The 20,051-nt window shown below is 34.5% G+C and overlaps 2 protein-coding genes across 9 annotated transcripts in view; one reads left to right on the forward strand and one right to left on the reverse strand.

The window, feature by feature from the left end:
* Positions 1-18,566, forward strand: part of RASA1 (RAS p21 protein activator 1) — a 124,034-nt gene extending 105,468 nt beyond the window's left edge. For both annotated transcript variants that reach the window (NM_002890.3, NM_022650.3), the window contains exons 14-25: positions 813-970; positions 1,490-1,566; positions 3,043-3,215; positions 3,531-3,690; positions 5,046-5,188; positions 6,385-6,500; positions 7,159-7,245; positions 10,363-10,430; positions 11,951-12,039; positions 13,476-13,553; positions 16,043-16,177; positions 17,450-18,566. In NM_002890.3, the coding sequence (NP_002881.1) occupies positions 813-970; positions 1,490-1,566; positions 3,043-3,215; positions 3,531-3,690; positions 5,046-5,188; positions 6,385-6,500; positions 7,159-7,245; positions 10,363-10,430; positions 11,951-12,039; positions 13,476-13,553; positions 16,043-16,177; positions 17,450-17,533 (1,368 nt within the window). In that variant the 3' untranslated portion in view covers positions 17,534-18,566. The remainder of the gene's footprint in view (positions 1-812; positions 971-1,489; positions 1,567-3,042; positions 3,216-3,530; positions 3,691-5,045; positions 5,189-6,384; positions 6,501-7,158; positions 7,246-10,362; positions 10,431-11,950; positions 12,040-13,475; positions 13,554-16,042; positions 16,178-17,449) is intronic.
* CCNH (cyclin H) overlaps positions 1-20,051 on the reverse strand; it is a 101,460-nt gene that overhangs the window by 61,880 nt on the left and 19,529 nt on the right. For 3 of the 7 annotated variants that reach the window (NR_157069.2, NR_157070.2, NR_157068.2), the window contains one exon: positions 19,420-19,554. The exons of 1 other annotated variant lie outside the window; for it this stretch is intronic. Coding sequence is in view for 2 of the 6 variants with exons in the window: in NM_001363539.2 (NP_001350468.1) it covers positions 19,510-19,554 (45 nt within the window). In the remaining 4 variants the exon portion in view is untranslated. Of the gene's footprint in view, positions 1-16,245; positions 19,555-20,051 lie in introns of those variants that run through there. 3 more of the 7 variants (NR_157071.2, NM_001363539.2, NM_001364076.2) reach the window with 1 other exon arrangement.

The raw sequence follows: 20,051 nt of genomic DNA on the forward strand, positions 1-20,051 counted from the left end.
GGGCATGCATAGATTTTATGCAGATACTATGTCATTTTCTATACGGGACTTGAGCATCTTGGGCTTCGTTAGCTGCCAGGACAGAGAGGTGGAGGGTCTTGGAATCAGTCCCCCACAGATACTGAGGGATAACTAGTTTGTAATACTTATTACAACCTGTAGTGTAGACTTTATACTTACATATTAGAAAGATGAGGCTTAGAGGGACGGATTTGTGCAAGGCCACACAAGTAGTATATGGCAAGAGAGAAAGAGAACCTGATACTAGAAGGTGGATGGTCTAAGTTTTGGCATCCAAACTAACAAATAACTTAGTTTCTTTAGGTTTGTATCCTTTCCTGTAAAATAAGAAGGTAAAGTCAGTGTTTTAAAAATTTTTAGCTGTGGAACTCTTTTATAGAAATAGAATCTTCCAGATAAGTATTATATAACATACGGGATTTTAATTTGAGTAGTGACAGTTGTTTACTTATATTAATAAAGAATTTTCTTCTTAACTTCATTTTCTCTTTATCATTGTTTTATGGTAGAAAAGGTGTATTTCATTATTTCTCCAGGAATATACTGGGAGAAATAACTTGTAAAATAAAATTGCATTGTTTTTATCTTTTAGGTGGGAAGAATTATTTTAAATGTCTGAATGTTTTAAGTATGTCATATACAAATATATAACCAAAGCTCACATTTTCTGAAAAAAAAGGGGAAAATAAGTCATTATTTTTGGCTTTGTATCTTAGAGTAATTGCTTTTGAAATGTAGTGCAATTCTAGAAATCTGGGGTAATATATATATATATATTTTTTTTTTTTTAGGTCAGCAGCCTTGTTTTACATATTGAAGAAGCCCATAAACTCCCAGTAAAACATTTTACTAATCCATATTGTAACATCTACCTGAATAGTGTCCAAGTAGCAAAAACTCATGCAAGGGAAGGGCAAAACCCAGTATGGTCAGAAGAGTTTGTCTTTGAGTAAGTCTTATTTTATCATTACATTAATCATTTTCTTTTACCATATTGCATTTCTTTCTGTTTTTTTGGTCTCTGTATCTAAACCATCAGAACAAGGTACCATATCCAGGTGTTCTAATAGCATATATATATATATATATTTTTTTTTTTTTTTTCTGTTGTTTGTTCACCTTTATTTGTGAAGTGCTATGCCCTTGGTTTTTCCACTTAGTTATTAACATGAATTAGCAAGTCAAAAAACATTTACTAACCCACAAATACAAAACATTTACTAGGGTTTCCAGTACTTATTTGAATGAATTATTAGTTTAGGAGGTTAAAGATGGTAGGAAAAGTGTGTAATCTGCGTGTCTTCTGTATACCAAATAATAAAATATGTTGTGAATCTGGTTTTAGGTCTAGCACACTGTTTTTTTTTTTAAAGCAGAAATAGGGGGTTTATTTGATACTAGAACTAAAGAAATAAGGTAGTTTGATGCCAAAACATTTTGTTAATTCTTTTTCTCCTTGCTCCTTTAGTGATCTTCCTCCTGACATCAATAGATTTGAAATAACTCTTAGTAATAAAACAAAGAAAAGCAAAGATCCTGATATCTGTAAGTTGATACAGAAACTTTCTAAAATAGAAAAAGCATGTTTTATATACTTTCAAAATTCACAATGAAAGTCTTAAAATAGAAATTAAAAAAACAGAAATGCAAGTAGTATAATTTGAGATAGTTTCTTTCTGTACTTCTTAAAGTATTGATTATCAAGAAAGAATATACCTAAGATAGAAAAAGACCAATATGGTTCAACTGTACACACTGTTAAGCAATTAAGATTAAAATATTTAGCCACCCTCCTTTCTCCAATGAATAGGAAGAATAAGGAAATGATTACAGTGGTCTTTTTGTAGGGCTTGCCCTCATCCCTTCTTTCTACTTTTTAGGTTTTTCCTGCTTTTTTTTTTCTTTTGAGATGGAGTCTTGCTCTTGTTGCTCAGGCTGCAGTGCAGTGGTGTGATCTCGGCTCACTGCAACCTCCGCCTCCCAGGTTCAAGCAATTCTCCTGCCTCAGCCTCCTGAGTATCTGGGACTACAGGCGCCCGCCACCATACCTGGCTAAGTTTTGTATTTTTAGTAGAGACGGGGTTTCAGCATGTTGGCCAGGCTGGTTTCAAACTCCTGACCTCAGGTGATCTGCCGGCCTCGGCCTCCCAAAATGCTGGGATTACATTACCATATAAGTAAAAAAGTATTCTATTTAAAAATTTCCCTTAAACTTGAATGTCATTTATTCTATTTAAAAATTTCCCTTAAACTTGAATATGTCACTTATTCACTTCTGGTAGTCAAAGGCTCCCAGTTCCTGTCCTCAGCAGCACAGCTCCTTCCATCCTGCTGCTAAAACAGTTGACAGTGAGATTTACCAGTTCACATCAGGGTGAATTAGGTTAATACCTTCTTAAAACTCAGGCTTAGGGAAGGAAGTGATATGTATTAACAGATCAAAGCCTGAATATTTCTCTATAAAATGTTTATTCTGTAGTTTTTTGTAGTAATTTTAGTTTTCCATTACTTTTACGATAAAATCCAAACCCCATAGTAATGACACAGAACGAAGGCCATACCTTATATTTGAAGTGCTCTTTTTTCTTTTTTCACTACTTTTCTTCTTAGCTACACCTCTAGATCTCGTCCGCTCAAGGGTTACCTGTTTAAAGTGGAGTTTTCACCTCCACAGGCTGAATTAGATATTATTTCTCTGTACTCGAATAGCATTCACCACTGTTAACAGCACTTACCAGTGCTGAAACATAATTGATTTCTTGCCTTCTTGACTAAACTGACCTCTATGCAACTCAAAGAACACATCTCAATCATCTCTGTACTCTCTACCTATCAGAGTTTAGTGCACCGTAGACACTCAGTAAATAAACAACTAAATATTGAATTTGTGATGTTACTGAAAACTCCTTTAATGAAAAGCATTTAACACCATAGGGAAGACTGAACACCAGGAAAATTTACTTGCATGACTAATTATCGTGTTCTCTTTTTAAACAATAATTGCTTGTTTTTCTTCCCAAGTATTTATGCGCTGCCAGTTGAGCCGATTACAGAAAGGGCATGCCACAGATGAATGGTTTCTGCTCAGCTCCCATATACCATTAAAAGGTATTGAACCAGGGTCCCTGCGTGTTCGAGCACGATACTCTATGGAAAAAATCATGCCAGAAGAAGAGTACAGTGAATTTAAAGAGGTATTAAATTATTTATCAGTCTTGTTTTTGTTGGAATTAACAGAAACATTTAACATTTAATAAAAGATCCATTAAGGTAAACATAGTAATTCATAGCTTAGTAGCACAATGATGCCAGAGATTTTAAACCTTGTTTTATACTGTAATTTTGGTAGAAATAAGTAGACTACGAATTCATTCTATTTTAAATAAATTTATTCAATGGGACATCATTTTAAATATAAGAACTTGTGAAAGAACATATTTCTTGTTAGTCTCATGGAGCATGCTTATAATGCTACGTACTTTAAACAATCTTTTAAAATGTCATTTTAGCTTATACTGCAAAAGGAACTTCATGTAGTCTATGCTTTATCACATGTATGTGGACAAGACCGAACACTACTGGCCAGCATCCTACTGAGGATTTTTCTTCACGAAAAGCTTGAATCGTTGTTGTTATGCACACTAAATGACAGAGAAATAAGCATGGAAGGTATGGTATGGCCATGTTAGTGTGATACAAGAAACTGGGTTTAGATTTTATATCAAGGATATATGGACTCTATCTCTGAATATACTAAATTGTTAAATTATATTGCAAAATAAGTTATTCTGTTTTCCCTCCTTAAAAATTGCAGTTGGATGTCAGTTCTGATTATGTTGGTTACTATGGGAAGCTGATATTTCTAATGTAGGTTTTGGCAGATAAGTACTAGAAGCCACAAGAAGGTGGTATCTGTGTCTACATCAATGGCTTGACTGTTTGGCATATTTATCTGTATTCTCTTGTTTTTTATTTTCTTTTGAGATGGCATCTCAGTCGCCCAGGCTGCAGTGCAGTGGCGCAGTCTCGGCTCACTGCAACCTCTACCTCTCAGGTTCAAGCGATTCTCCTGCCTCAGCCTCCTAAGTAGCTGGGACTACAGGCATATGCCACCACACCCAGCTAATTTTTTATTTTATTTTTTTAGTAGAGACGGGTTTTCACCATGTTGGCCAGGCTGGTCTTGAACTCCTGACTTCAGGTGATCCGCCTGCCTCAAGCCTCCCAAAGTGCCGGGGTTACAGGTCTTGTTTAATTTTTACTTCTTCATTACACAGAAGCTGGGTGTCAGCTGCATTTTATTTCTAACTTTTATAGATAGGTAGTTCCCAAGCTGCTGGACACAGTGCTTTTAATGGCTTACAAAATAATCCACCCTCCCCCTGGCCCACACACACCACCAAGCACTTTGATTCATTAACAGTTCTTGCTTCTAGGTTCCCCAAATAAATAGTAAAGTTTAGAACTATTTTCCTCCTCATCACAAAATATAGATTTGTCAAGGAATAGATAAAATGGTGGTCCTTATTTTACACTTGAGTTTATCTTTTCTGACAGCATTTGTATTTCATTAAAATTTTACTGAAACTCAGTAGACATATTTTAAGCTAATAAATTAATCTATACTGGGATTTTGTGTTATATCCTTAATTGTAAATAAACCCTAAAATTTCAAAGCATGGGGTCAATGGGCAGCAAAGCTGATTTATGGTCCTAATTTTATCATTAGCTGTCTAATTGATCTTAAGTCATATAACAATTCTGAGTCTTCATTTTTCCATATGAACATGGCAGTGTTAATCCCTTCTGTTCATGATCTAATGAGGTAATACATATGAAAGTCTTACAGAGTTAAGTCTGTAGAAGTATAGGATGTCATTGTAATTAGTACTTTCAACGCTGCACGCAAAAAGCACATTTAAGTGGCTATTCCTGTTGAGGTAAAATGAATTCACTTAATTTCCAATTTGGTCACATTAGGTCAGTCCTTTACAAATAATCTTCTAATGTAAATATTTGTGTAGATGAAGCCACTACCCTATTTCGAGCCACAACACTTGCAAGCACCTTGATGGAGCAGTATATGAAAGCCACTGCTACACAGTTTGTTCATCATGCTTTGAAAGACTCTATTTTAAAGATAATGGAAAGCAAGCAGTCTTGTGAGGTAAGAATTTAATGTTTTAATAAGTATTTTTGCAAAGAACATATTTTAATAGGTAATAATTTGTAGCCAATTACATTTTAAGGAAAATATATTAAATTTCTAAAATTATTCCTCATAGCAGTTACACCTGTCTGTAATACATTTATAAAAATGTTCTGCAAAATGGACTTCTTAAAAAAGATGTACTTTATTTTGGGATTAAAAACCATCAAGTTGCACCAGAAATTCATGAAAATACTTTGTCATTTCCTCTACTGTACTAATAATCTATATACTACTTACAGAAAGCGTGCATAAGATAAATTGAAGGTTTTGTTAGTGACTCATTATATAACCTATGTAGCACTTCATTACATCTTGGTTTGTTCTTGAAGGTTTTTTTGCGAGGGGAGAATTATGAGATAACCTCAACTAAAACAAAAAAATCTTTTTAGGATTATTAAAGTTTCAGTATAAATTCATAATACACTATTAAGACAGTAAGTGGAATCTCACACACATATTCTCTCATTTTAATGGTAAAGCAACTACAAAGAAATAATATATATTAGATCTGATATAAAAATCAGTTTAAGGAATTGTTTTTGACAATGGACACTGGGACCTAGCAAATGTTAATCCTGCACGAAGGTGTCGATTCATACTAATAACTTGAAGGGAAGAAATTAGTGATTTAATGTTGGAAATGTGGGGTAATGCCATAGTTGGCCTAACATAAGGATGACACAGAAGTGCAGCAGGTAGGTAGGGAGTCTCTGGACTTTAGAGATAGGCTACGGAATTCCGACTTCCATAGATAAATGTACTCTGCTGACACTAGATCAGAAGGGTTACAGGAAAAGTTCTGAGAAAGGTTTGTGATTCTGCCTAAGGCATTTGATATTTTTATTAGCCATTAAATAAGCCTCATTCAGAAAAGCTTTTAATCAGCTTTTTTTCCCCTCAAATAAATAGAATTGACTAAGCACTGTTTGCTTTTCAGTTGGCTAATTGGGAATAAATGGTAACAGACCTACCAGGAGGAGTTCCATAGAGAAAACTACTTAAAAACTCCCATTATACAAAGAAAAAAGATCAATACACACAGAGATACCGAAAAATAGACAACCTCGAAAACTATAACTACTTGTTTTCCTCTATTCATTTGCATTTGTCATTGCCAACATGCATTTATATTGATTTATTCCTTCTTTTAGTTAAGTCCATCAAAGTTAGAAAAAAATGAAGATGTGAACACTAATTTAACACACCTATTGAACATACTTTCAGAGCTTGTGGAGAAAATATTCATGGCTTCAGAAATACTTCCACCGTAAGTGGTGAAATTTTCATTTGACAAGAAATTGTGTATCTATGTCTTCAGAAATTTCTATTTCTAAAACGTGAAAGCTTTTCTGTTGTCCTAATATTATTATACTCTGAAAAAGTCATGGTTAATCTTTATGAGATGAATTGTATTTAAAGAAAATAGCTGTCTTAATAAAACCACCCATTATTTTCGTACAAGCCAATATGTCTGGTTTGTACTGTAGTAGCTTGGGGAGTGAATAGAGGTTTATAGTTTCAGATTTGAGATTGTAAAAGATATCTTGTCTATCCATTTAGTCTATACTTGATAGACTAATCACTCTGTTAATATGCTTGTCGGCCTCCAGTATTAGTGAACTCACTTGTTCAGGTAGAAGTTAACTTAAGTCTAAATCTTGCTCCCCAGAATTTGCAGCTGGTTGGTTCTCTATATCTGAAAGTAAATGTCAGGAAGTTGACTGAATAAATTGATGATAAACTTAGTGGATAAAGTTTTCCTTACCCCTTGCTAAATGCCTCATTACCTGTGGCAAAATACTTTTTTGGGTAAAAGGCCAGTTTTATTGAACTGTGGTATATTTGGGTAAATTAAGCTTTTGGCTGCTAGGAGATCAGTGTTTTCACTTGCTTTCTGTGTTGAGATGATTGTGTTATTTTGGCAGGACATTGAGATATATTTATGGGTGTTTACAGAAATCTGTTCAGCATAAGTGGCCTACAAATACCACCATGAGAACAAGAGTTGTTAGGTAAGGCTCATCAATTGATTTGTTAAATCACATACTAATAGGTGGATAATTGTGAAAAATTGAGGAATAACAATATACAATTCAATGCTTTTTTCTTTGGCTTTTATGTCAAAGCCCTGTTGCATATTTTCTAAGTCCAGATGGCTCCTAAACTGAAAGTTACTGTGAGATTTAGCTGCCGTTTGCATTTTCTAAAAACATGAACATTCATTTATAGTCAAGTATTGGGGATTTTTAAACCCTTACAAGATGAGGCTAAAAGTTATATAACAAAATCTGTAGCTAACTTCATATAGTATTCTTCATACATACACACACATTGATTGGCAGTGAGAGAGAAGGGCAGTAATTGACCGATTTAGATATTAATTGGTTTGTTACAATCTGTGACTCTGAGCTAATCAGAACCAGAACATGTAGTTCTGAAGCTGTGTTTCAGTCTGCTCATTGTACCATAATTAGGAAGAACTGCTTTGGCAAATCATGGAATTTGGGAGCTTATATAAAGGGACTTCATTATCATTATTCTATAGGAAGAACTGCTTTGGCAAATCATGGAATTTGGGAGCTTACGTAAGGTTACTTCATTATCATTATTCTAACTTATTTTTCCAATGAAGAAGCAGATCTGTCTGGAGAGGTTAAGTTGAACTAAGGTTTTATAGAAAGCTGGTGGCTAAGGCAGAACTAAAGGTAACTTTCTAAGACCCAATCTGATATCCTTGAGTCTTATTGTAGGCTTTTGCTTTTGTTAAGCATACTCCAACTAATACCCCAACTAATTCCAGGCAAATGGAAGTTTAATGCGAAAGCGTCATGGAATACAGCAGTTTTCTAATAATATAATTTGTTATTTAGAATATACACTGTCATGTCATGCTATATGTAAAATAATTAGGCAACCATTAACACCATTATTACACAGTTTGTTTTGAAAATGTGTTAATCCTGCCTCCAACCTAAATTTTGTCAAGGGGCTTCTATTTCTTTTTTTGGGGGGCAGGTAATATTTCTCTTGGTTATGATATGACATAATATTTAAGAACTACAGATTCTGTTTTTCTTGGCATTAGTGGTGATTGGGAGGAATAGAAAAGAATTACAAGCATAATATTCCAGCACAGTTACGTGTGAGATGTAAATTAAAACTGTTCTATAAATTTGTAAGTTTCAAACAAGTATAACTGTTAAGCAAACACAGCAGGAAATTGTAAACTGTTTCGTGCAAGAGGGTGTTTTAGGGCATTTTTGCCAAGGTTAGGTTTCAGGCTCATAGACCTACTATGTATAATTATCACAATATTTTCAAGTAAAGTTTACAAGATTCTTTAAATTTGGGAAGTCCAAAATTAAAGACTTAATTGTTATTTTTTTGAGACAGGGTCTTGCTCTGTTGCCCATGCTGGAGTGCAGTGGTGTGATTTCGGCTTACTGCAACCCCCGCCTCCCAGGTTCAAGTGAGATTCTTGTGCTTCATCCACCCAAGTAGCTGGATTACAGGCATGCACCACCATACCTGGCTATTTTTGTATTTTTAGTAGAGATGGGGTTAGACCATGTTGGCCAGGCTGGTCTTGAACTCCTGGCCTCAGGTGGTACACCCACCTCGGCCTCCCAAAGTGTTGGATTACAGGCATGAGCCACCATGCCCAGCCAATATATTAGAATTTCTATAAATGCTGTTTGAGAAGTAACATCTTTACTTTCTAAGAGTCCAAAAATTAGCAAACAGGTACATGTTCAAAGGTAAATGCTAAGAAATTGGGTAATCCACTCTAACAGAGAACAGAGATTGTATCTATTAATCTATAGAAGGAATTGCGTAACTCATTATTTTGGGAATAATGCTTGTCTTTACATGGATTATGTCTATCAATCTGTAGAAGGAATTGCATAATTCATTATTTTAGGAATAATGCTTGTCTTTACATGGGGCAAGTAAGAGGTTAATTATTAGTGTGGATTCTTCTTAAAAGGAAATTAGAAATTATCTACATGACAACATATCCTCCCTACCAGTGACTAAAGGAGGCAGAATAGGAGTATCTATGCAAGCTTTTAACACTGACATTGTCCCAAAGTAAAATTAGCAGATAAAATCATATATGACAGCTGTTAGTATAATTTTTGCTTTTGCTATTGTTTTATAATTTGACAACTTTTTAAAACTTTAGAATTCCTAATGTCTTGTCTTAAAAGTTTTTCAGGCTGGGCATGGTGGCTCAAGCCTGTAATCTCAACATGTTTAGACCAAGACAGGAGGATTGCTTGAGGCCAGGAATTTGAAATTGTCCTGGGCACCGTAGCGAGACTCTGCTTTCTACAAAAATAATTAAAAAAAAAAAAAAATTGCCAGGTATGGTGATGTGCACCTGTAGTCCTAACTACTCTAAGCCTGAGGCAAGAGAATTGTTTGATCCCAGGGGTTCAAGGTTGCAGTGAGCTGTGATTGTGGGCCACTGCACTCCAGCCTGGGTGACAGAACAAAACCCTATCTCAAAGAAAACAAAGAAAAAAGGAAAAAAGAAAACCTTTCCAGTGTTCTATTATAGACATTTTCATTGATCAATAAGTCACTTTTTCTCTAGTGCAATGGATTCTTATTTTTATGTGAATCATCAACAAAATCAATGCAACCAACTTAGGCTGTTCTGTTTAAATAAATTAAGAAATGAGGGTGTGTGAAGTTCTAAAATTGTACAGAACTATGCTTATATAAAAAGTTTATTTCTACTCCTGTGGTATTTCAGAAATTCTTAAGATTCCTGAGGATACTACTTTCTCTAAGTATCAAATGACCACTAGCCTGGAATAATAAATAGTAAGCAAGACAGTAAATACTACAGATAAACAACATTTTCCCAAAGTTAATCCACATTCTAAATTGGGAAAAGTGAGTAATACATTCAAGAAGCAGATATATATATTCTTAAAATACGATGCTTTGGCTTACTGTTTTCTTAAAGCTTTCTGTGTCTGGGCTTTCTTTTATTGGTTTAGAGTGAATTTTATGGGTTCTATGAGTACTAAAAATTCTGTTTATATATATTGTTTTAATGTAACACATTATATAGGTGTTTTCTAAAAAAAAAAAAAAAAAATTTCCCTCCCATTCAGTGGTTTTGTTTTTCTTCGACTCATCTGTCCTGCCATCCTGAATCCACGGATGTTCAATATCATCTCAGGTAATCAGCTTTTGATACATTTTGAAATTCAAAATATTAGAATTAACAGTTTCATACTATTTAAGAATACTCTTAAATCTTTTTTTTTTTTTTGATCATCCAATTCTAGTCATGGCATATATGAAGTATTCCAAAGCACCCTTCCTTCCTTGTGCTTGTGCTTCTTGGGCTTTTTTCTTTTTGTTTCTTTTCTTCCATCTCATATCTGGTCTGAGATGGCATGATTACACACATTCCACCTTTTTTCTACCCCTATTTGTGTCTCAAACCTTTATAATAAGTGACTTCTTGTAGTCTGCAGCTTGGCTTTTTCAAGTTGGGAAGAGCTTTGCTTAGCCCATTGCTAGACTGCTGCCAGCTAGATCTTCAAGATCAAATTAAATGATATGTACAGTTGGAATAGTATTCTGTGAGTACTTATGAAGAAAGCAGTCCTGGTTCCTCCCGTTAGAGATTTTTAAAGTCACCAGTTATATAGTGTAAATTGGCCATTTTAAACTTCAGTAAACCTGATCCAGTTTTATTACCCATATATCCATTTTGAGATGACTTTCAGGTGTTAAAAGCTTCTTTCAAAGAAAGGATAACAGGGATATTTGTGACTTTGAATGTAATAATGAACCATTATAAACAGTAGGAACTGGAACCATTTTTACCTTAATAATCTGAAGCTCAAAATTGTACTAAAAATGTTTTGGAATGTCTTAATTTTTACTTCTATATAGCCATCACATCTCTGTAATTATCTTTTATTGCTACTAAAGTGGTTAAATCTATAAATTATTAATATTAAGGGTTTGAAATTCTTTTGGAGAGATTTATCTGGATGTTCGCCTCAGACAACACCATCTAAAACTAGGCAGTCAGGTAGATTATTTATGGGATTTTACTGTTAAATAATTAAGTTCCAGAGCTTATATTTAATAGACACCAATACTTTTCATTTACATCCTACTATCTGTGTTCCACAGGGAAGTGCTTCCTGACTTACCTTTAAAATATTTTAAAAGTTTATTAAATTTCATGTTTTTCTCCTCAAAATAAAGCAGAGGTCCTAGACTTTATCTTGCTTCTTGAGCTTTAAGCGAATTATTTGGACTGCAAATAATGTTGGGAGCAGGGAATTGCTCAGATTGCTAACCTGAGTAGGTTGAAATTAGCTTTGTGAACTGTCATAAAAGATGTGAGGAGTGACAATCTTTTTTAGTGATAAAGGTAAAGCTTTGAGGTCCTTTGAAATAGTATCAACCGTTGGAAACTGCTGAGTTTTGTAGTACCCTTTTCGCAAGCCTAGAAGCACTGATAAGCATATTCACTTTTTCTCTTTTAATTCAAGTTCTTTTGAATTTTATGGATCATAAATTTTTCAAAAAACATTTTTCCAAAAACATTCTGAGTTCCGAATGGAAGAATGGGTAGTAGTTTAACAGTAAAGAAATATTAAAGTGCTAAATTTATAATGGTTTAGCTGGAAGTGCTGTTGGACTTGGTGTCATTAGCTGTGCCCAATTCTGTTACAGATTCTCCATCTCCTATTGCTGCAAGAACACTGATATTAGTGGCTAAATCTGTGCAGAACTTAGCAAATCTTGTGGAATTTGGAGCTAAGGTAAAAACATTTTGATACTTTAAAATGTAATTTATGAATGCAAGTTTGACATGATAAAACCATAAATTGTGGCTTAAGTAAATTTTTAGCAGTGAAATTTTTAGCGATGAAAGATTATTTTTGTTGGTATGTTTGTTTTTAAAGTAGCTTGTTTAAATTTTACATTTTAATAGTGGAACTTTAAAAAACACAAATTTAGCCATTATAGAAAACGAATTTTTCAAGGTCCAGTGTACTCAAATTCTCCCACTTTTAAACATAATCAATGAGTACATTTTAATACAAAAAGTCATTTAAAAATTTATTTCACAAACATTCACTGTAAATGTTAAAACTCAAGATTTTATTTTTTTAAACACCTACACTTAATTGTACTATCTAAGGATAATGACTGATATTCAGTTGGGATCATATCATGCCTCCTGCTTTTGTCACCTAATACGTGACAGACTTCTTGCCATATGTGGAAATAGATAACTCTTTCACTATTCTTAATAATGGATATTTAGATGGCTTCCATTTGTCCCTGTTATTGTTGTAACATATATTCTTGCATACATTTCCTTTCATACTTACTCAATTATTAGCTGAACTTTGGAGTAAAATCACTAAGTAAATACGTTTTAGGCTTTTGCTATGTGTTACAAGATTTCCTGTCAGCAATTTAAGATACTTTTATTGCTCCTCACAGCCTTGCCAGAACTCATTGGGTACTATACTTTTTTCTTTTTTGCCAATTGGATAGGCATAATATTTTGTGTTTCATTATTTTATTACTGTTAGAGAGACTTTCATGTCTTTATCTTTGGAATTGCCTATTGAGGTCCTTATCTCATTGAGTTTCTTACTGATTTTAAAAGAGTGTGTTAATCTTAACATTTTCCCTATTTATAGCATGGTTTTAAGTAGTCAGGATTTTAGTACGATGAGCAGTTAACTACGTGTATGGCCTAGGTTTTGAATTCATCTGAATCTTTGAGGCAGGTTACAAATAAGATATTTTCCTATTGCAGTCTTTATTATATTGTATTTTAATTCCCTGTAATCTCTGCTGGATTCAAACCTATGATTTGGGGCCATGTTTGAGTGAATTTATATATAAACAATTTGTGTCTGCCAGGCTATGTGTTACGATTTGTGCTTGGGTCCAGAATTTTCTTTCATTAAAAATACCCATACTCCTCAGTATAGCCATTTGCTTATATACTAGAAGGAAAATACTGTCATTATATGATTTAATTAATTCTTGTGAATGTGTTGCTGCTGCTACACCTAATTTATAAGAAGTATTGCTACATGTATGGGTTTTGCTATATTAATTTGGTGCAATAGTAATTGCAGTTTTTGCTGTTAACTGTAATTACTTTTGCACCAACCTAATAGATCAAACAGTGGTTTGTTTCTGGTGCATATAACAGAAGCATTTTATTTTTCAGGAGCCCTACATGGAAGGTGTCAATCCATTCATCAAAAGCAACAAACATCGTATGATCATGTTTTTAGATGAACTTGGGGTATGTATATAGTTTTCAGGTACTTTTTTTAAGACTTCTAGTTGATATAGCTGAGTTAACCCATTTAAGCAGCAATCTTTAGAAAGATTTTCTATCCAAAACTAAAAAGACAAAAAGCCTGCAAATTTTTGTCTGCCTTCCTAAACAAAAAACATATTTTTGTTTGTAATTAAAACCATTTATTCTTACACTAAATAGTTTACACCAAAGCATACATTATTGTGGCTTTTAGACTACTTCCATCATTTTTTAGGGTCTGTCTTGCTTTTCATATCCTTTTAAAGCTATCACATCTGACTGCCATGACATTCTGTTGCCTCCTTAGCTTTTTTACTTTGCTGCTACTATGTGGGGCGTGAAGCAAGACGATGACACAGTTCTGACCAGGTTAAATAAGTAGACTGAAAAGTCTTCTTTTCTAGGAATAAAAGACGTGGATTCGGTGTTACACTTCATTCAGTGTGAATATCTGTGCCTCATTTGGGCCTTGTTAATAAAATAAATTGTGATTACAAAATTACGAATGAGGGTATTTTATAATTTCTAGGACCCTGCCTTTCTTAATCAAGTTAAATTTTCATGATTGAACAGATTTTCAGGTACTGAGTCAGTTTTAAACTAAACTTATTAGTAATTCAGTTCATATACAGAGAAACCAGGAAGGTGCATGTACATGTGAATAGAGCCAGGTGTAAGGCATGGCATTAGGGAGTGCTAGGATTGGAGATTGAGGTGTCCATGTTCTGTCTTAATGTATTCAGATTCAGTTAAAAAGACCACCACAATTTGTGGCAAACAAATCAGGAATGCCGTTGAGTCACTAGTTTGCAACCTCAGGTATAAAAACTAGTGTATGAAAAATTATGGCATAGCTCCATATTTATAGTGAAATTTATAGTGAAATGGACAAAAATGCTAAAAGTCCATCATGCTTCTATATGTGAACTGGGATATAGTTGGTCAATCATTGGAAAATATTTTTACTATAATGTTTAAGGAACTGTGTGAGAAGTTATGCCACACAATCTAAGATTTCATACTGCTTAGAATCCAAATATAATACTACCATATTTCTTCACCACCTGTATAATAAGCCAAATTTATTTTTGAAGACCCACCTCAATTATTATCTCCTTCAGGAAGCTTTTGCTGAACCCCAAACATGAATAAAATAACTTTTGTTTTACCTCCTAAGCATCCCCTGTGTATCTGTGATATATAATTCTGTGTTGCTATGATTACTTTATTCTAAAGTCCTTTCTACTGGAGTCAGTTCTCTGAAGGCAAATATGGAGTCTTTCATCGCTATAAACCTTTAATCACTGAATGTATTCTGAGTAACTGTGTTTCTCTGTCCCATAGATAACATTGTTTTGCAGTTTTTAGCAATGTAAAGCAAATACTGTCACCATTTTACTGGTAATCCAAGCCCTTGTTAAATGTTATTCCAAGGCTTAAAATAACACTGGCATTTAGTGTCGATAATAAAGTACAGGTTGAGTATCCCTAATCTGAAATCTGAAATGCTAAAAAATCCAAAACTTGTTGAGCACCAACAGGAAATGCTATTTGGAAAATCTCCAATTTTGGATTTTTGGATTGGGGATGCTCAACTGGCAAGTATACTGCAAATATTCCAAAATCCGAAACACTTCTGGTCTCAAGCATTTTGGGTGATATTCAACCTATACTATAAACTTTCATTATAGTGACTAAGTTACTTTATGAACCTTATCTGAAAGTACCATAATTAACACTGATTATTCCCACACATTAGCAAGTATTCTGAGCATAGTCCACAGATAATTGCAAACCTGACAGGTTCTCATTGCATTTTCATAGTGCAGTTCCTACTTATATGCATTATCAACTTAGACAAACTACAGGAGCTTAATAATGAAATTTCATCTAGGAATTTTAAGTTTAGGCTGCATTTAATCCAGATTAGCAGTTAACCTACACTATTTGGCATATGTTCTAGATTTTTTCAGATACAAAGCTAATTGTTAGGAAGCCACACCCCCCACCCCTTATTTTTAGAATAGCAATAATATTGTACACATCTGTCATGCTACGGAAAAAAATGGAATCTGGCTTTCATGTGAATACAAAGGTTACAAAGTCTATATTTTACCATCATTAATACTGAATATTATATTTCAATAAGAATCTTTAGAATTTTAAGAGAAATTTGAGTATTAAAAAAATTATCTAATATACCCAATTAGAATCTTTTCACATGAGACTACAGAGAAAGATTTGTATTTGTAACAAAAAATTAGCTGGGCATGGTGGCAGGTGCCTGTAATCCCAGCTACTTGGGAGGCTGAGGCAGGAGAATCGCTTGAACCCGGGAGGCGGAGGTTGCAGTGAGCCGAGATCATGCCATTGCATTTCAGCCTGGGCAACAAGAGCGAAACTCTGTCTCAAAAAAAACAAAAAAAAAGAAGATTTGTATTTCTAAATGCAATTTTACGATTCCCTTAAAGAATGTACCTGAACTTCCGGACACTACAGAGCATTCTAGAACGGACCTGTCCCGTGATTTAGCAGCATTGCATGAGATTTGCGTGGCTCATTCAGATGAACTTCGAACGCTCAGTAATGAGCGTGGTGCACAGCAGGTAGGCTTTCGCCAGCCTTCATTAACAATGATGTTTCAAAGATAACACTTAGAGAGTTAATAAATAGCTGAATTCTGGTTAACATTTTTATCTTGTTACATTAAATTTTTGAGACTCTGCATCATATTACAAAAGATCTCAGCAGACAGAAATAACGGGCCCCGACTAAAATGATGTACATTTAATACTGAAAAACATCAGGTTTTGCTCTTGAGTCTGAATGTTAATTCTACTGGAAAACAGTGTAATAACACTTTGGTAGCATGTGTGAAAATGGCTAGTTAGTAAGTCAATATTGATTTTATTTTTTTTTCTTTCAGTTTCTGTCTTGTCTTTTCTCTGTCACATACAGATATAGTGCATGGCCAAAGTGATTCTCAAACTGTGAAACAAATGATTATTATTTGGGATGTTTGTCAAATTTCACATCCAGAGGTTCTGAAGTGTGGCCTTGAAAGCTGCACGTCTAACAAACTCTTAGAGGAATTTATAGGTATTCCGATGCAAGTGAACCATGGCCTACACTTTGAGAAACAGTAGACTACATTGATAGACTTCTATCTGCCATCTGCACCAAACAGATACAGATAAGGATGTATTCAAAGACCAGACCAGAATTTGAAGGGACTTAATACCAGGTCAATTAAGATATTGGAGATATAGAACAAAATGAGTTACACTTTGAATGTCCTCAGCTGACATAAGGGCTACTGAGAGGAAGTGACCACAGGGACAGTTTTGACTAGTTTCTAATGTAGTTTCAGGAGATAGTGAATGCTGTCACCGCACTGGCTAACCATTTGGCAGGGATTTTGTAGAAGGGATTAAAGCATTGAGTTTGGTGACTGAGTTCTCTACAACCTGAGATTCTAGAATCCTCAAGTCCTGTTTCTCCCCGCCCCTCCCCCCGCAGCTTTCAAAACTAATAATATGACTTGACTTGCCTTAGATATTAAATAAAAAAAGCCTTTTTTAAAAGAGAGATAAACTGCTTCTGACAACATGTGATAGTGTGATAGTTCTGGCCTAAAAAATAGGAGCATGCCAAACACAAACAAATTTCTGTTCACTTTAGGGTATAAAAATTCTCTTAGTTATGACCAGAAATACTCAGCCAATGACTGAATAATAGAGACTTATGTTTTGAGGGGAATTGTGGTAATATTTTATGCATCCTTTTGCTTTGATACAGTTTTTTTCAAATCCAGGTTCCCATCCTGAAATTGCTGACCGAGCTTTCATTTATTTTCATACCATTTTTCCTCTGTCTAGCACGTATTGAAAAAGCTTCTGGCTATAACAGAACTGCTTCAACAAAAACAAAACCAGTATACAAAAACCAATGATGTCAGGTAGCAGCCTTCGCCCCAGTGTTCTGCATGGATTCAGCATGTCCAACATGGTAATTCACTTCAGTTTAATGTCTCCTTTGCTCTTGCCAAAAAATAGCACACTTTTCCACATTCCAGTGATGTGTGAGCTATGCAAACAAAATCCAAGATTCTGCTGGTGAATAACTATGCCAGCAACCTTGTAAGCTATCTGTGCAGGATATTTGCACTATTTCCACATGGAATCAATCTTTAACAACCTCTGAGCCTTGGTGTACAGACCACCTTTCACAAAACGAAATGCTATGACTGTATCTTGATATCTCGAACTTTCAAAATATATTTTCAGTACACCCAGTTGCCAAAGTTTTGCTGTCTCTTAGAGAAAGAACTATGAAATCAACTGACAAGAAACACATTCTTATTGACAATTGTGTATAACTGGATTGCAGACTGTTCTTACTGTAACTACTTCCTGATTAGGAATATGACCATTTGACTGTTCAATGATTATTTGTATTTACAGTTTCCAGAGTTTGTCATTATAATAGGAACAATCTTTGCTGTATACTTTTAAAAAATACTCTGCTATTTCTCTTGCTGGAACTGTTGAAAGAAAATATATAGAATGATCTATTGCTCATCAGCTTTATTTTTTAAACATACGACTTATTTTGTTGAAATTGTCAAAGACTGTATTTAGATCTCATAATGCTTTGTTAAATGTTTACAAGTAAATAGTTTGAATTCAGTAAATATTATTGGTTGTTGTATTGATCAATGCATGTTACCCATTCAACCATTTTATAGACTACCAATTTCTTTTATGTTAACTAGAATGCTTTTGTTAAAAGTTATTTGTTCATTATTTGTGCTACCCCTTTGATTATGCAGACAACCTCATCAGCTGCCTAACTTATCCATCTTTGAACTTCTGACTACTTGTTGTATCTGCTGGATATTTAGTTCAACTGTATAGTTTTATTTACTTCTGTATGTGTATTTTTGTGAAGTATTCACAAAGGTTAAGTTAAAATAAAACCAAGGGATATCTTGCATAATTGATTACTTCTGTCTAAAAGAGCTAAGCATTTAATTTATTTATTTTCTTCCTCCTTCAGGGGCAGTTTAAACCTTAGCATCAGAGCAAGGCCCAGGGAGAAGCTGAAGCTTTAGATTAGTATTTTTGCTAATGGCCTCTTTTGAAAAGGATTTTATAAATGCAATAATTCCTTCCCTCTCATAATTGTGCAGGGCAGATAGATAGGACATATGGAACATACGTGGCAGAATGACATTGGTAATCAAAGTGAGTGAGACAGGAACCCAAGGAGGTGTTCCCACAGTAAGGAAAGCCCTAGATTCCAAGAGCAACACTTTATGCTATTCCTCTAATGTATAAAATACAGGAAAAAAAAATGCTAAGGGCTTAAAAGATGTCTGCTTAGTAGTTCCAAGCTACAAAAGGCAGTTATTTCTATGGGGGCTGCTAACCTATGTGGCTTCAATCACCGTTTAACACTGATACCAAAAATCTCAACATGTCCCATGCTCCTTTTCCTTGAAATCAGCTCAATTCATTCCATTCTCTCCCTTCTTGGCTCTTTTATCAAATTACTCTCCTTTCCACCCCTTCTGTTTTTTAGCTGGACTTGGACCAACATAGTATCCCAGGTGGTCTCCTTCCTTGGTTACATGATAGAAGACAGGGAGGATATGGATTAGTCAAGATATTTTTGCTGTGCACTTTGGCTCCCATTTATCACACCTCAATCTTTAGCCATACTAACCTGTCATTCCTCAGTCTGAAATCCTTCTCCCTTTTATTTAAAATCACAAACCTGACTTACCCTGCTTCTTATATTTTAACATCATTTGTCTCTCAAGTTGAAATGGAAACTTGTTACTTACCTTTGTAGGCCCTCTAGTAACTAGCTTGTCAGTGTTGAAATAAAATCTCTCACACTTTAACGTTTTTAATGGGGCTGGGTGGGAAAATTTTCAGTGATAAGTGTGGACCTTGCTCTGATGCCAAAGTTTGGCGATCTGAAAGGGAAAATGAGACAAATTGTGAACATCTTGTAATTCTGTCTAGAGCCTAGCAGCAATATATTTAACTAGGACTGCGATGGAGGATTTATAACTTTTGGCTTCTTCCACTCTGCTTTTGTAAAAATCTCACATCACGAATTTTATTCCTTTCACTCTGGAATGAGAAAAAAAAAAAACCCACAAAACTCAAGCCTACAGTGTAAAGAATTATTGTTAGAGAGATGAATATGCATATAGTAAGTATTGCCTTAAAATAGATGTAACTATAATGGTACCTACCTTTCTGGAAAGTACAGCCTGGGATGTACTGAGACTGAGGAGGTGTGTGTATTTGTGCAATTTAATTAGATTCAGGACACTTGAATTACTCGGAATTCCTTCAAGCCAGTTTTCCTGAAAAAAATCTGGCTTGGTAAACAGACGTCCACAGTTTGGTTCCAATTATAATAGTTAACACTTACTGAATACTAGTGTATGCAGGTACTATTCTA

The sequence above is a fragment of the Homo sapiens genome, chromosome 5, assembly GCF_000001405.40.
Source record: "Homo sapiens chromosome 5, GRCh38.p14 Primary Assembly".
Classification (NCBI taxonomy): domain Eukaryota; kingdom Metazoa; phylum Chordata; class Mammalia; order Primates; family Hominidae; genus Homo; species Homo sapiens.